Genomic DNA, 15704 nt, shown 5'->3' with positions numbered 1-15704 from the left:
TGGAGTGGTTGTAGTTTAAGACAGAATGACAACTTTATTCACTCACTCACTCACTTACTCATTGCTATATTCCATTGTGTTGGGAACTATATACCCATCCATAATGAACAACAGGAAACAATAAACCTGATTAGCCTTAGAGATGGTGAAAAGAAATCTTTCATCTCATCTTAACTGCCTGAGCTATATTTTGAAACTGCAGTGGCTTTAAGTCAGAAAACTGGTCCAACCTTTCTACTTCTCAGTAGCTGTCTATTTATACTCTCAAACTCCAAGAAAATAGTAAGACTAGAAGGTCAGAAATGGGTAGGAGACATTAGCCATAGAAAATAATAGCCTGAGAATTAATCCAAGAAAAAACATCTATGGATAGGAACAGAGAGGAAATAATCTTTTTTAATGGGAAATTGCAACTTTCCAAGATTTTCAGTCTTAAATGCCTACAAAAGTCAAGTAATTGGCACACATATGGACGACAGAAAATCAGATATTTCTCTTCCCATTTATTGTGGATACCTCACTTTGGGAAGAGATATATTGAATTTATTCCCAGAATTTATTATTAACTTTATAAAGATAAGCTTTTTAAAATAATAATGAATGCCTGATTTTTATTTTCACTATTATTTAAAATAATTATTGAAGATTGGCTAATGCAATAACCTAAAATACAAGTAAGAGTAGGATAAAAGAGGTTAAGTTTTTTTCCTAAATATGCAGATGATTATGTACTTAGAAACTTTACTGGCTCAATTGCATGTGAATCAAATTATAATTAGTTTTCCTGGATTCAACATCACTGATGTGGAGAACATTTTCCTAGAGTTATTTTCCATTCCTAGAATAACATCGTTACTGCCTAGATCAGACGATAAATGGTCAATATGAATTCACTTCTTCTTTCATATGATGCACACAAAAACTTTCAGAAATATTTTTATGATTCTCTTTTCAACTCTACATGTACTATTACCACTCTCTTGAGAAAATCAGTTTTAAAATGGTGTGTATGTGTGTGTCTACGGTGGAGGAGAAAGAGAAGGAGGATCTGGTACAAAGAATATACCTATCAAATGTCCATCAATCATTTACAGAAAGGATTTTGCTGTTGCCAAATGTTAGAAATTTTTGTTTGGAAAGTTTGCTTGCTATTGTGTGTTATATTATCCAGTACAGTTCAGCTATTATTGTGTTTGTCAAAATCTTTTTTGACAAGCTTTTAAAAAGAATATTTTCCACTTACTCTCTTCATGTCCTTACCCTCCATTTACTTTCCAAACCTCTTCATTTGTTTTATGTCTTTATAGTTTTACTGAACCTACTCCTTTCCAGGCTCCACACATCCTCTAACAGTCAAACCAAAGGGCCTATCCCTGCAATATTACTTTAAAACAAACAAATTATTTCCTTGACTTCTACCATTTGCTAATCTCAGTCTCTTTTTTTTTTTTTTTTTGGTCTTAACAATGGCATCATCTTCCAAACTGAATACGCTATCTTCAGTCTACTTTGTCTCGGCTTGCCCTCTACATAAATGTGACATAATATATCTGGTTACATAGCCCTGGCCACAAAATTCTCCAAGCCAAAGTCTTTCAGTGAATCTCCTGCTGCCATGTATATAAAGACAACATTCGTATTATTGTGGCATATCAGGTCTGTTTTGATACAACTCTGCCTTTCTTTACAACCTCATTCCATCCTCTGTATATACATGTTAACCATGTTTATGAGTGAAAGTTAATTATTTGTGGGACTTGACTTTTGCACAAAGGAGTTTCCCTGCCTCGGATATTTACTTTGCTCTTTGTTGGATTAGAGGATGCTCAGGACCATTGAAAATTACAAAAGAGTGAAACCTCCATGTCTTTCTCCAATATGCTTCTATGGGCATTGAGATACTGTCTTTTTGGTTTGGTTGCAGCAGACATTTCTTGTATTACAAATTTTTAAATGCTTTTTTTCTATTATGTTGTGGGTCTTTCACAGGCAGATGTTTTTCTTTACTCACTTTTTATCCTCAACCATCTATTTTAAGTGAATCGTAAAATAAATCATAATTGAACATCAATTTTGTTCTTTCATAGTTTTGCAAAGATTTTATAAGAAGTTTTATTGTTATTCTATACTACATTTCCCAGCAAAAAAGCAATTTTTCATTAATTAAATACTTCTTGAAATTATTTATACGTGCATTTTGGATATCTTTTCAGGCCATTTATTTTTTCTATGAATCAGTTAAAAAAATCAGAGAAGTAACAGAAGAGTAAGATTAACAGTGACCACCCCCATCATATCTTAAGATTTTGTCAAAATTGATTAGGATTAATTTTAAAAGAATGAAATATTAGGAATACATTATGTGTTCCTCAGTACATGTCTGCAGGCTATTTCCTGTTCTCTTTCACCATCCTGAATTTGATGATTGCTCTAAGGATTATACATTCTTCTATGTATGCCACATGCATTACTTATTTCTCCTAAAGTACCTGTTATCAACCTTGTATTTTGCCTCTGGAGAAATCTGTACAGAACATCCTCTTACTTTTGCATATTACTCTTGGTATTCTCATGTCAGCTATTTAGCTGGTAAACCATTATTTTGGCTGGTGGATATTTCTGCTAATGGTAAACCATTATTTAGCTGGTGGATATTTCTGCTAGGAGCTGCTTAACTGTTCAGACTTCAATTTTGGTTTGCAGTGAATCAGTGCTGTCTTCAAGTACATTCTTTCCCTTTGCTCAGCTTTGTTACTTCACTGGAAGCCTATTACTTATACTCTCAACCTGCCTTTGTCAATGGAAATGGACTCTGCCTTCACAACTGATGGGCATCTTTTCCTCATGACTAGTAACAGCTATGCATGACCATTTTTAAAGTTGATGATATATTTTGGAAAAAGATCGATATTCTACATGAATTAAAATGAGAAATAATTTGTTCAAACATACAGCATGTAACATGTGATAGACATTGTAGTAAGCCCTCATGACATAATAGTGAACAGAAATAGTGCAGTCCCTGTTCTTTGTGGAGCTTAAATCCTGGATGGGGAGACAGACCAAACACAAGACAAAAAGCAAGAAGAATATATTAAGGCATTAAAATAAAGGCAAAGTTGAAAGGTCCCATAAAAAGAAAGTGTCAGAGAGCAAAAATGAGAGAAGAGGGCTTACATTACATAGAGGTTTGTGAACTCCTGCTCTGAAGAGAGACCATTTAAACTGAGACTTAAATGCAAAGGAGCAGTTAACCAAAGAGAAAATGCGAGATAATGGCCATTTTGAAGGCTCTGAGTCAGGACAGACTTTGGTGTGTCAACTAAGAGTGATCAGGGCCAGGCACGGTGGCTCATGCCTGTAATCCCAGTGCTTTGGGAGGCCGAGGTGGGTGGATCACCTGAGGTCAGGAGTTTGAGACCAGCCTGGCCAACATGGTGAAACCCCATCTCTACTAAGAATACAAAAACTAGCTGGACGTGGTGTGCGTCTGTAGTCCCAGTTACTTGGGAGGCTGAGGCAGGAGAATCACTTGAACCCTGGAGGCAGAGGTTGCGGTGAGCTGAGATCGCACCACTGCACTCCAGCCTGGGCAATAAGAGCGAAATTCCATCTAAAGAACAAAAACAACAAAAAAAGAGTGATCAAGACTGAAGAGTGAATCATGGTACCTAAAATGCACAGAGACTCAGGTTGCCACCAGACTGTAAATTAACTTGTTTACTCTGTAACATACATCTGTTCAATGGATCAGAATATTGTAACAGGCACTAACAGCACAATTCCACCTTGTTCCAAATCCACATGGGAAAACAAACCTGAGCAGATGATACTATAAAATGTCTTGACGAATCAGAGTCACAAGATTAGAATAACCTGTATTCTACTGGAAATAGCCTACATTCATATAATCTCCCTAGCCTTCCTTCCCCTCCATTCCTTTCTTTTCCCTTTTTCTTTGTTCACTTCCCTTTCCTTGTCTTATAGAAAGCCAAAATATAACCAAAGATTGAGTTTTGATCATAGAATTCTAGAAGATTGTGTTAGATGTATCAAATATCTATATTCATTACACTAAAATATTTCATTAGCCCATGTTGGTTGTTTACAGCTCTGTGCATCCATCCATATTGAAATCTGACCAAAAAAACCAAAAAACTCATTGTTAAGAATACCTTTCCCAGACTTAGACACTATTGGATGTTCATCGTCAGTGTTTGGCTTGCTGATTTTCCTTTTTCGGAACTTCCATAGCAGGACAATATCTCCCCAGTGCATACATTATTTAGCTATGTTTATGAAGTCAGTAATCCATGAAACCATTTCTTTTTCTAAAAATAACTTTTTATGTCTATGTTCTGAGTCTTAGGTGTTTCTCTTACTGCTTGGAGTTTTGAGGCTAACCTTATTTTTCATGTCAGTTCTTAGCTGACACCTCCCTATAGCCACTAGGTACTGATACCCCTTCACCCTTTACTTGCCATTTGGCATATAGGGAATGCCATTCATATCCTTAGCATCAATACATTCACACATTTTTGTCATTTCTTGGATTCTAACTTTACTACTTAAACTAAGGAGAATCATTTCACTTTCTTCTCTTAGGGTAAAAGCTACCTTCACATTTTAATTTCTCTTCTCTGGAACATTTTAGGTCAACAGCTATAACAAAGTTTTATTCAGTTACTAATTGAATAAATGTAATAGTGTGATTAATTTGGTGTGGGTAAAAGGAAAAAAATGTCGGGTCTCATTTCCACACTTGCTTTCTAGTATATATAAATTCAGGTTCAGCATCAGCTACATAATTTGTGATGCCCAGTCCAAAATGAAAAATACAGGGCCATTTGTTTAAAAAATAATTAAGATTTTTAAAGAGAGCACAGATAGACCATTAAATGAAGCATGGGACTTTTCTGAACTCAGGGTCCTATGGTACTTTGTATACACAGAAAGCTGCTCCTGAACAGGTCTTTGGAGTAGGTGGCATCTGAAATAATTTTATAAATTTATTTTCTAATGCTTTTATAATAGAATTTCAAAAATACAGTTTTTGGGATAAAATAGTATATACAACAAAGCTTAATGAACATATTTATTTGGAGCACTATAACTATGCCTTTGGCACGGAGTATTCTGGTGAATAGAAACATGCATTTAATAAGAAACAAACTACTGTTAGTTTTAAGTTTATAATTGACTATGGTATAATTCTTTGATTTAGTTTGAATACTCAGAAACTAGATTGCTTGGGTTATAAATCATTGTTTTATCTACTCTACTAGCTGTGGGTCTTTGGCAAGTTTGCTTACCTTTCTTTGAATCATTGTACACATGCATAGGGGTAACAGAGAATCTACCACATAGGTTTGACATGCAGATTATAATATTTCAGGTGCTTTAAAGAGTACCTGGTATGTAGTAGGCATTCAAAGTCTACCCCGTTTTATCAATATCCTTTCTATTTTTTATTCTTGCCTTAATGGATACAAAATCCCAGACATAGTTTACTCTAATGGTTGTAAATTAATGTCTAGTATAATACAAAAAACAATTCATGTTATTGTTTGTGTAGAATTACAAATCTGACAGCTAATGGATAAGACATTTAGCTCATGATGATAAACATTAATGACGTGTTTTTTTCTACTACAAGAGCAGTGAAAATATTTTTGTTTTTTGATCTTTCTTTGACCTTTTCCCCATCACTATTTGGCTTATTTAAAATAAAAGATCTAAATTACCTGGTTGATAGAGCAATCCAGTTAATTGTATTACAGTTATTATGTTACATAATTTTAGAATCCAATTTAGTTCAGTCTTAGCATTTCAGGCATTCTTAAATACATTTAAAAACAAGCTTCTTTGAAAGTAATCTGTTATTTTTTATTTTTATGTCACTGAATGATTGAGCTTTTTATATTAATTGGAATTATGTTTATTTATAATTACCAAACTGTTTTGTGCTGTATGGAGAAGATATACTGATTTACAATCTGTAAATTGAGTCTCTACTATCACGAGATACTGAAATATTTAGTTGAACATCGAATGTAGGATTATATCAAACAATACCATGGTTTATTTTTATTACTGGTAGCACATTTATTATAAACTATTTCACTTAAGATGTTTCCTAATAAACTATTCATTTTGAGCAATATAAATGAGGATGCGCTAATCAGGTATGGATTCCAAGTAAGAATGTCATAATACTTCTATGCATTTTGCAGTTAGGATGGTGAAAACCAATGAAATAACTGAGCATTATAGTCATTATGGTTGCGAAAGTTGACAAGAAAGTAAAACCCAGTACTCCCGAATTTGTGACACAGCTTTCAAACCATACCGTGTACTCAAACCCTTCTCTCTCCTGTGGCTCTTATTATATAATATCTATATTCAATCTCTTTTCTCATATTAGACAGTATTACTGAAGTCTTCACTAACATCTACGTGACCAGTTTTGGCCCTGTCTCAGATACAGATATGGTGAGTTTTTCATTAAATAGTATTTTTACTTCACATAATGGGGAGTGGGGGGTAATTTCAAATAAACTAGCATTTTTAGTGTTATAGAATTATGTATATGTCTCATGTCTATTTAGTCTACTCAAATACATGGATAGTTAAAGATGTTTGGATCTATGGTTTCCATTTCCAACTTCAGTGTTTGGATTAGCCCTATGTATTTTACGTCATTTTCAAAACATGTCTACCTAACTACAGTGTAATAAACAATTATTTAAATAAAATTAATTGTATTAAGAAGAAACATTTTCTAGGAGGATTAAGGCAGAATTCTGGACTTCCATAAGGAAAGTGAATATAGTTTCACAGATAAAGACTTCTTACAGAATTAGGTCATGGTCAGTGTATCACATTTAAAAACAACAACAACAACAAAAAACCCTTTGATTGGTATTGAGCAAAGTGATTGCCTTGTTATGCTATCTACATACATACAATACGTATAATCTGCACACATAGTAGGTATATATAAATCAACCTAAAAAAATTAGAATGTTGGTACTCTTGGATTCTATGGAACTGGTATTATTTATTTTTTCTTTAAAATGAGACAGGCCTGGTGTGGTGGCTCACAAATGTAATTGCAGCAATTTGGGAGGCTGAGGTGGGAGGACTGCTTAATCCCAGGAGTTTGAAATTAGCTTGAGCAACATAGTGAAACCCCATGTTTACCCAAAAATATCAAAATTAGCAGGGTGTGATAGCACATGCCTGTGGTCAGAAGGCTGATGTGGGAGGATCACTTGAGCCCAGGAGGTCGAAGTTGCAGTGAGCTGTGATCCTGCCACTGCACTCCAGTCTGCATGAGAGTGAGACCCTGTCTCCAATCAATCAATCAATTAAAATACAATAAAATGAGATAGATAAGTGAGGAAAATTGGTTTGATGTGTTAGGTACTGGTGGGCTGGAATCACCAAAGATGAATTATTGATGAAGCATTAAAAATTTAATAATCAGTCCTTCACTTTTACTGCTAACTATGGTGCTCTGTAATAGACATTTTTGATGAAATTCTTCCCTTTCTCTGATAACTCAGGGGGAAAGTTGACAAGGTTGGACATTTTCTACCTGGATAAACAAACAAAACAAAAAGTATTCCATTTTTATAGGCTTTCATAAACATTATCAGCTAATTTAATAGGAGCTCCCTACGTTTCCGTTAGAGAACCTAAATTCCACTTTTATGTTACAAAATATGCTGTTTATTCCATCAGAGCCACACCTCTGACCTCAGAGATTTCTTATCTTGACCTGGGTGGCTGAAAATGTAAGGCCCCATGTGGTTGATGGGTGATCCCCACCTCTTTGGAAGTGGTTGATACTAAATGTTGGCAGTCCATTAAAATTATTTGAAACAGGAATGTCAAGATTTAAGTGCTTTTATTTTTCTCCTTCAACTCTGGGTCTTAGGCACAATTCTGGTACAAGAGGAAAAAATCCTATTCTTCAGCATAACCCTTCTTTTTCCCTGGCATTATTGTATATTTTGACCTGAAATATTAATCTGCCTCTTTCCATGGGTCAATTTAAGTGGACAGATCCTTATAATGATGACAGAGACAATGTGTTTTAGCAAGAGTGTGCATTCCAAATGTTATTGTTTGGCTATAGATATAATTTTGTCCTAGTAAATACTCTGTCTTAGTGTAGCTTGTCTTAAATGTTCCCAAATGTTAGAGACACAGTGCAGATAAACACCTAACTTCTATCTAAAATCAAGTAGAGTCAGAATTTTGTTAACTACTACATTGAGAAATTAGCATATTATATAAATTATTACTCTTAAATATGGTACTTTGTGTCTTATTATCAGCCAAAACAGAAAGGCAAATGATATAAGACTCCCAAATATCAGTACATTTTCAATATTGTAGTTTTTTCATGTTGTAAATTTCAGTAGTAGCAGTTACTGCATTGAAATTTTAGCTTTGATTTTTGCAAAGTGAATTATTTTACCTAAAACATCTCTCTCTCTCTCTCTCTATATATATATATATATATATATATATATGCATATATACATACATAAATGCAAACATATCTATTTCTAGCAAGACATGTTTGGTATTTGGGGATTTTACACAAATTCACATCATACTTGTTTGCCAAAATGTACACAGACCTTTGTTTTCCAGTGATGATAATAGATTAGATTAATTCTCTACCTCTCCTTGTTGTGACCACTCTTTGGGATTGCTAACGTATTTAAAAAGTTGGTAGTTGATGTTAGGTATATAGTCATTAGCAATAGAACACATTTAGCTACTTTATATCTGAATTGAACTAAAAACAGCTGTGCTTTATCTGTAAATTGAACCCAAGAACTTTAAAATTTTTTAGCAGACTCAAGATATGCTTTCTTATTTGGGGGGATTCTACCACAAGTTATAGAAAACATTAAAATATACTCACACTACCAATATAGGTTGCATTGAGTGGAATTTCAGTTGATAACATTTAAATAAAAAACCACTTACTTTGATTTTTTAGTTTTCTTTTTATATTTCAGAATACATGCGTGTGAGTGAGTATGTATATGCACACCCAAATATAGATATATTCTCAAAAATGAAATGCATATTCAGCATCTTAGTAGGTTTTTGAAAATCTTGAAGGCCCTAGACATTTTCCCTAATAATACATTTCCCTTAATTCATCTAGCCTAAAAAAATTTCTATGAGATTGCTCTGCTCTTGTCAGATTTCCTACTTTATTTCTGTCTTTATTTACCTCATTTAGTCAGGCTTGCCAACAGTTGTTTTAGAGGAAGTCTAGTTAATCACAAAGCTACCAAATGGGAGCATACTATATAAACACAGTCCAGTCACAGGACATCACAGGGAAAATCTGATATAAAGAATTATTAACTAATAAAAGACAGCTAAATTCTTTTTTAAACATTGATAAAAGAAGATTTCAAGTGATAGAGAATTAAGAAATGCAGATAGAATATCTACTTCTAGGGCCACAGTGTCACCACTTCCAAAATCAGAAAGAAACTGAAGACTGGAAAGAACACCCTTTCCCTCTAAGACCTGTGAATTCTGACCTCACTGGAGGGATACTGCTGCTACAGGAACGTGCAGCTACTGGTGGTGAAGAAACATGTGAGGGTATATGCTGAAGCTGGTCCACAGAAATATGCTTCATGGGCTGAAAACTCATAGCATGTCAGTCGTTTGAAGCTGTGCCAAAAAATGACAATGCAGCTGACCCAGAGAGACCAAGAAAGAAAAGCTCCCTTCTCTTGTGACTACATTGGAGTGTCCCTCCAGCACCCTCTATTGACAAAACCTGACATTGTATTAGCTGGCAGAGGAGCAGTATTTATAGGATCCATCAGGTATCACAAAGGAAATGAAAGAAGGGTGGATTTGGAGTTGAGAGGCAGTACACAGATAGCTGAAATACTAATAGTGTGTAATACAGGGAAGATGTAAACTGAGGACCAGGAGATAGTTTGATCACTCAACAGGTACTGTTGATATTTGTCCAAATCTAGAGAAGAAAGATGCAGCTAGGAAAAATTAAAGTTGAATAACTTATAGACACAAGTAACACAGACACATACAAACACATGCATTTACTCACATTGTAAGTCTATTAGGGAAGATAGTGCTCAATTAAAAAAATATACATTTTATGGAGAGAAAGGATATGGTCTTCATGATGATCAAAATGAATGATTTCCATGTTGATATTAGTTTTACTGGAAATCAAGATAAGTAAGGAGGCAAAGTTTGAATTTATGTTTAGTATGGATGGAGCAATAGGTTGAGCAATGAGACGTGGCTGTGACACTCTAAATAAAAAGAATGATATACCTAATGCTAGATGACGAGTTAGTGGGTGCAGCGCACCAGCATGGCACATGTATACATACGTAACTAACCTGCACAATGTGCACATGTACCCTAAAACTTAAAGTATATATATAAAAAAAAGAATGTTATCATGATGGGAAGGGAAAACATAGCCATATTATTACCCACAAGTCAAAGTGGATGTGGAGATATCTAATGAATACCTTACAGAAGCAATTTGTTAATAAGAAAAAAAATAAAGAACAAATTTAGTTTTACTTTTAGTAGCTTAGCTGATACACTTTTATTTCTAATCAGTGTGCACGGTCAGTAGCAAAAGCTAAATTCCTAATTTCTCTTATTCAGGTCAGTGATGTAGATTTGTTATGACATTAGCCTGAGAGAAAAAAAGCAGCATAGCAAAAAGAATTATGAACCAAAAGAATATGCAAACACACACACACATGCGTGTGCGCACACACACACACACACACACACACTCTGCTATCTTGGAATCATTAAGTAGTGTAATTGTCCCAAAAATGTTGTAGATCTAAATTATAATTAAAGATTCTACTTTAAGTTTCTGCAATTAAGTTAAAAATATTTTATTTCAACATAAGGAGGTAATTAATTTTTGAAATGTATTAGTAGCTCACAATTGACCAAGTTTGTAGTAGGCATGAATATTTTAGCAATTTCTAACTTGCTCTACTGTTTTTTTCCCTTTTTCCTTGGTTTCTATATAGGATGTCTTTCTTATATTAGTAAACATTTTCACTGTGTGTGCATATTATTAAGGTATAGGTATTATAACTACCAATTATTTAACCTAAACCTAGACTGAGAACCTCAGCCCAAATGGTTGTCTATTGTGAAGTGTTAGGGTTAGAGCTTGGACAGTGAAAACTTTGAAGTAATCTTGAAATATCTGATACAGAGTTTACCATTAGGCTAAGAAGCAGGCAGTCTGGTAAGTATGACCTTGGTTTCTTGATTATGTTGATTTCTCCAGTTAATACTTTTCTTCCTCTGCAAAAACACAGAGTGCATTATCTCTTAGAAACTCCAGAAGCTACTGGGATATTAATTAGTTCAGTAGTTAATATCAAGGAAGTTTAGAGAGTTGTGAGTTTTAATATCTGGTCAAAATTGACACTGAACTTAATCTGTTATCCTTTATCAGAAGTTGCCATTTGTAAATGTAGTTCATTAAGAAAACCTGTGACAAACATGGCAAACCCTTTGTATCAAAAGTAAATTAATGATGTTTACTCCCTTTAAAGCCAGCATGTAGAAGCTGGTTGCTGTAAGGTTATTGACATTTTGGAAAGTTAGAAAATAGACACTGGGAACATTCATTCATTCATCAAATATTTTTCAGCACCCTCCTAGAATTTATAATAATATTCCCCAAAATGTGATTTATAGATACTTAGATTGTAACCATTTGAATTATTTTTTAAAATAGTTGTTTCCTGGGATCTTCCTATGATCTATGGACTCATATTTACTATTTGTAGAACATGAAAGTCTGTATTTTAACATGATAAGGTATTTGACTTTATGCTAAGGGAAGCACAAATATATTATAAGATTGGTGAAGAGGCGGAGGAAGGTAAGAGTTCTATGATCCAATAATTTATATTAAAGGATAGGGAAAAGGAAGACTAGTTAGAAATCTGTTTTACTACAGGCAAGAGATGAAAGTGGATTGGCCCAGGGCAGTGGAACTGAAGATGGAGAGCACTGAAAAGATTTAAAAGTTCTCTGTGGGGTAGAATTGGTGATCTGTTGGATATAAGGGTGGAAGAAGAAGTATAGAATGACATCTTGGGGAATTGGGTGAAAAGTGGTACTATTCACTGGGATATGGAACACAGCAGGAAAAGTTTTGTTTGTCTTTGTTCTGTTGCTCGGGGATGAACATTTATGTTTTGCACATGTTGAGTTTGAGACTTTAATTGGAGATGTCTAGGTAGCAGGCATAGATCTGGAGCCCAATAGAGAAGCCTGGAGTACAGATGGCTTGGGGGCCATCTAATGGTGGTTGAAACCATAGGCATACATAAAATCTTACAAGGAAAGAGATTAGAACAAAGTAGCCATCTTACTTTCACAGAAACTCTAGAACACCAATATTTAAAGGACAGGAAGAGGACAAAAAAATGGAAGAAGAGACTGAGAAGGAGCAAATGTGGGTATCTGTCAAAATGAAGGGTGGTTCCATTTTCTGAGCTAGGCTATGCTTTGATCCAAAAAAAAAAAAAAAAGGCAGAGACCACTGTCTTATTCCTTATCAGATGCAGTGCTGTGCTTTCATCAGATATCTGTGCTACAGCCCTCTGCCAAAATGGGATTCTGTAGAGTTAAGGTGAGATGGCTTATTTGGTAACTGGGTAACTGTATGAACCCGTGTGTTTTGCGCATAGTAAAACATCACCTGGGGGTGGGGAAACTGTTCCAGAAGGGTGCAGGTAGAAGTAATTTGACTCCATTCATTAGCTTTCTTGGGGAAGGAGGGTTGTAGGAACTTAGTACATGCAGTCATAGCTTTCTTGGTTTTCTAAGGTCACAAAGTAGTATTCCCTACCACCCTCCCCATTCTTTTGTAAAAACTAAATAAGATTTATTCCTATCACACTATCAATATCACTTTTAACATAATTGGAAAATAAATTCAAATATCCTAAAATTCACAGGGAGCCAAAGTAAGAGCCTGAATAGCCAAAGCAAATCTAAGCAAAAGAACAAAGCTGGAGGCATTACACTACCCTGATTCAAACTACCCTACAAGGCTGCAGTAACCAAAACAACATGGTACTGGTACAAAAACATATAGATTAATGGAACAGGCTAGAGAACCCAGAAATAAAGCCACGCACTTATAGCTAGATAATCTTTGACAAAGTCGACAAAAACAAGCAGTGGGGTAAGGACTCCTTATTCAATAAATGGTGCTAGGATAACTGGCTAGCCATATGCAGAAGACTGAAACTGGACCCTTCTTTTCACAATATACAAAAATCAACTCAAGATGGATTAAAGACTTAAATGTGAGACCCCAACCTATAAGAATCCTAGAAGAAAACCTAGGAAATGCCATTCTGAACCTAGGCCTTGACAACAATTTCATGTTGAAGTCCCTGAAAGCAATTATAACAAAAACAAAAATAGACGACAGGGACCTAACTAAACTAAAAAGCTTCTTCATGGGAAAGGGAACTATTAACAGAGCAAACAGACAACCTACAGAATAGGAGAAATTATTTTTGAACTATGCATCCAACAAAGGTCTAATAGCCAGAATCTATAAAGTACTTCATAAGTGAAAAACAAACAATCTCATTAAAACATGGAAAAAGGACATGAAAGGACATTTCTTAAAATGACACACATGGAGGCAACAAGCATATGAAAAATGTTCAACATCATTAATCATTAGAGAAATGCAAATCAAAACCACAACAAGGTACCATCTCACCTCAGTCAGATGGCAATTATAAAAAGTAAAAAATTAACATGTTGGCAAAGTTTCAGAGAAAAAGGAGTGCTTACATACTGCTGGTGGGAATGTAAATTAGTTTAGCCACTGTGGAAAGCAATTTGGAGATTTCAGAAAGAACTTAAAACAGAACTACTATATGACCCAGCAAGCTTATTACTACATACTATATACTTATTACTATTCTACTTTTTAGTAGAATATAGATTGTTCTACCAAAAAGACATATGAACTATGTATGTTCATTGCAGCACAATTCACAATAGAAAAGACATGGAATCAACCTAGATGCCCATCGGTGGTGGACTGCATAAAGAAAATGCGGTCTGTGTACACCTTGGAAAACTATGCAGCCATAAAAAATAATGAAATTATGTCCTTTGCAGTAACATGGATGCAGCTGGAGGCCATTTCCCTAAGCAAATTAATACAGGAACAGAAAACCAAATATGACATGTTTTCACTTGTAAGTGGGAGCTAAACATCAAGTACACATAGACAGAAAGATAGGAACAATAGACACTGAAGCTTATTTGATGGAGAGGGAGGGGGAGGGTTGAAAAACTACCTATGGATACTGTGTTCACTACCCGGGTGACAAAATAATTTGCACATCATACCCCAGCAACATGCAATCTAGTTGTGTAACAAACCTGCACAGGTACTCTCTGAACCAAAAATAAATGTTGACAAAAGAAAAAAAAAACTAAATAATAAACAACTGTGATTTCTGAACATGTAGTGATTTTTAAAATAAAAATTTCAGAGGTTGCATGTTTTTTTCCTAGGTTTCAAGTTTTGAGGCTGTCTTTGGGAAAGCCACAAAGAACTTGTATGCCTAGATTAAGAATAATAAATATTATCCACTGTTGCTACTACCATATATTTTCTAGGGGATATCAATACATGTAGATAGTTGACAGACATCAAAAGTCTCAGATCCCATGATGAGGATTTTAGCAATGGTTTCTCACAGTACCAGGAAATTGTGACTTTAAGAATACCAGTACAAGAGAGCATTACAAAAGTAGGGAGGGAACATTGTGTCATCTATTACGGTAAAACCAAGAAAAGGTTTTTAAATATGTCATTAGATTAAAAACAGAAGTATTTGCTGATTGTGGTAAAAGCAACCAGATTGCGGTGGGTGGAGGCAAGTGGGAGGTGAGGAAATAGAGAAAGAGTGGAGGTAACATTTTTAAGCAGCGTGGTTGAAGAGAGGAGGCGAGACAGAGGGCAGCAGCTATACGGCATTATAACTATCAGTGAGGCTTTTATTTTTAAAGATGGCATTGAACTTCTCACTGTTCCCTGAACATGTCATTATATTTAACAACTCTCTGGCCTTGCACATGTTTTTTCCTGTTCTTGTTATGCTTACCTCCTCCTTTGCCAAATGGAGATATTTGATTTAGTCAAAGCCAAGTTCAAATTTAATTTTTTTTTTCTGATTTCTTTCTAGGTTACTCCAAGTCACCAGTCCTCTTTATCCCTGTGCTCCACCACATGGCGTTCATACCTTTTTTTTTTTAATGATGTTGTACACAGGCTTATGAAAATCTTCCTAACTTTTTTATTTTTATTTTTATGGCAGTCTGAGCTACTAGAAGGCATAACTTGTGTCTGTACATTTCAACGAGATTTCCTAAGTATACACTCAGTGCTTCTCACCCTGTTAGGAACTGAAATAAGTAAGTGTAGCCCTCAAATTGCTCACAGGGTATTAGAGGACAGCTAAGGAAAATAGTCCATTTTAAAACAGTACGATAATGCTTTCAATGAAGTATTTATGGATTAATGTGGTATCAGAGGGGATGTGGGTGGTAGATACGGAGTTTGGTACGGTTTTTAGGGAAAAAAAAGA

The 15704-nt window shown here is 34.9% G+C and overlaps 1 protein-coding gene across 20 annotated transcripts in view; it reads left to right on the top strand.

The window, feature by feature from the left end:
* Nucleotides 1–15704, top strand: part of GABRA2 (gamma-aminobutyric acid type A receptor subunit alpha2) — a 146753-nt gene that overhangs the window by 51194 nt on the left and 79855 nt on the right. For 16 of the 20 annotated variants that reach the window (NM_001377146.1, NM_001377145.1, NM_000807.4 and 13 more), the window contains one exon: nucleotides 6425–6492. The exons of the other annotated variants lie outside the window; for them this stretch is intronic. In NM_001377146.1, coding sequence (NP_001364075.1) covers nucleotides 6425–6492 — 68 coding nt within the window. The remainder of the gene's footprint in view (nucleotides 1–6424; nucleotides 6493–15704) is intronic. 20 annotated transcript variants of the gene reach the window in all.

Source organism: Homo sapiens, chromosome 4 (assembly GCF_000001405.40).
Source record: "Homo sapiens chromosome 4, GRCh38.p14 Primary Assembly".
Lineage (NCBI taxonomy): Eukaryota > Metazoa > Chordata > Mammalia > Primates > Hominidae > Homo > Homo sapiens.
The sequence above is the reverse complement of the archived record's forward strand: the minus strand, read 5'-3'. Positions and strand labels throughout refer to the sequence as shown.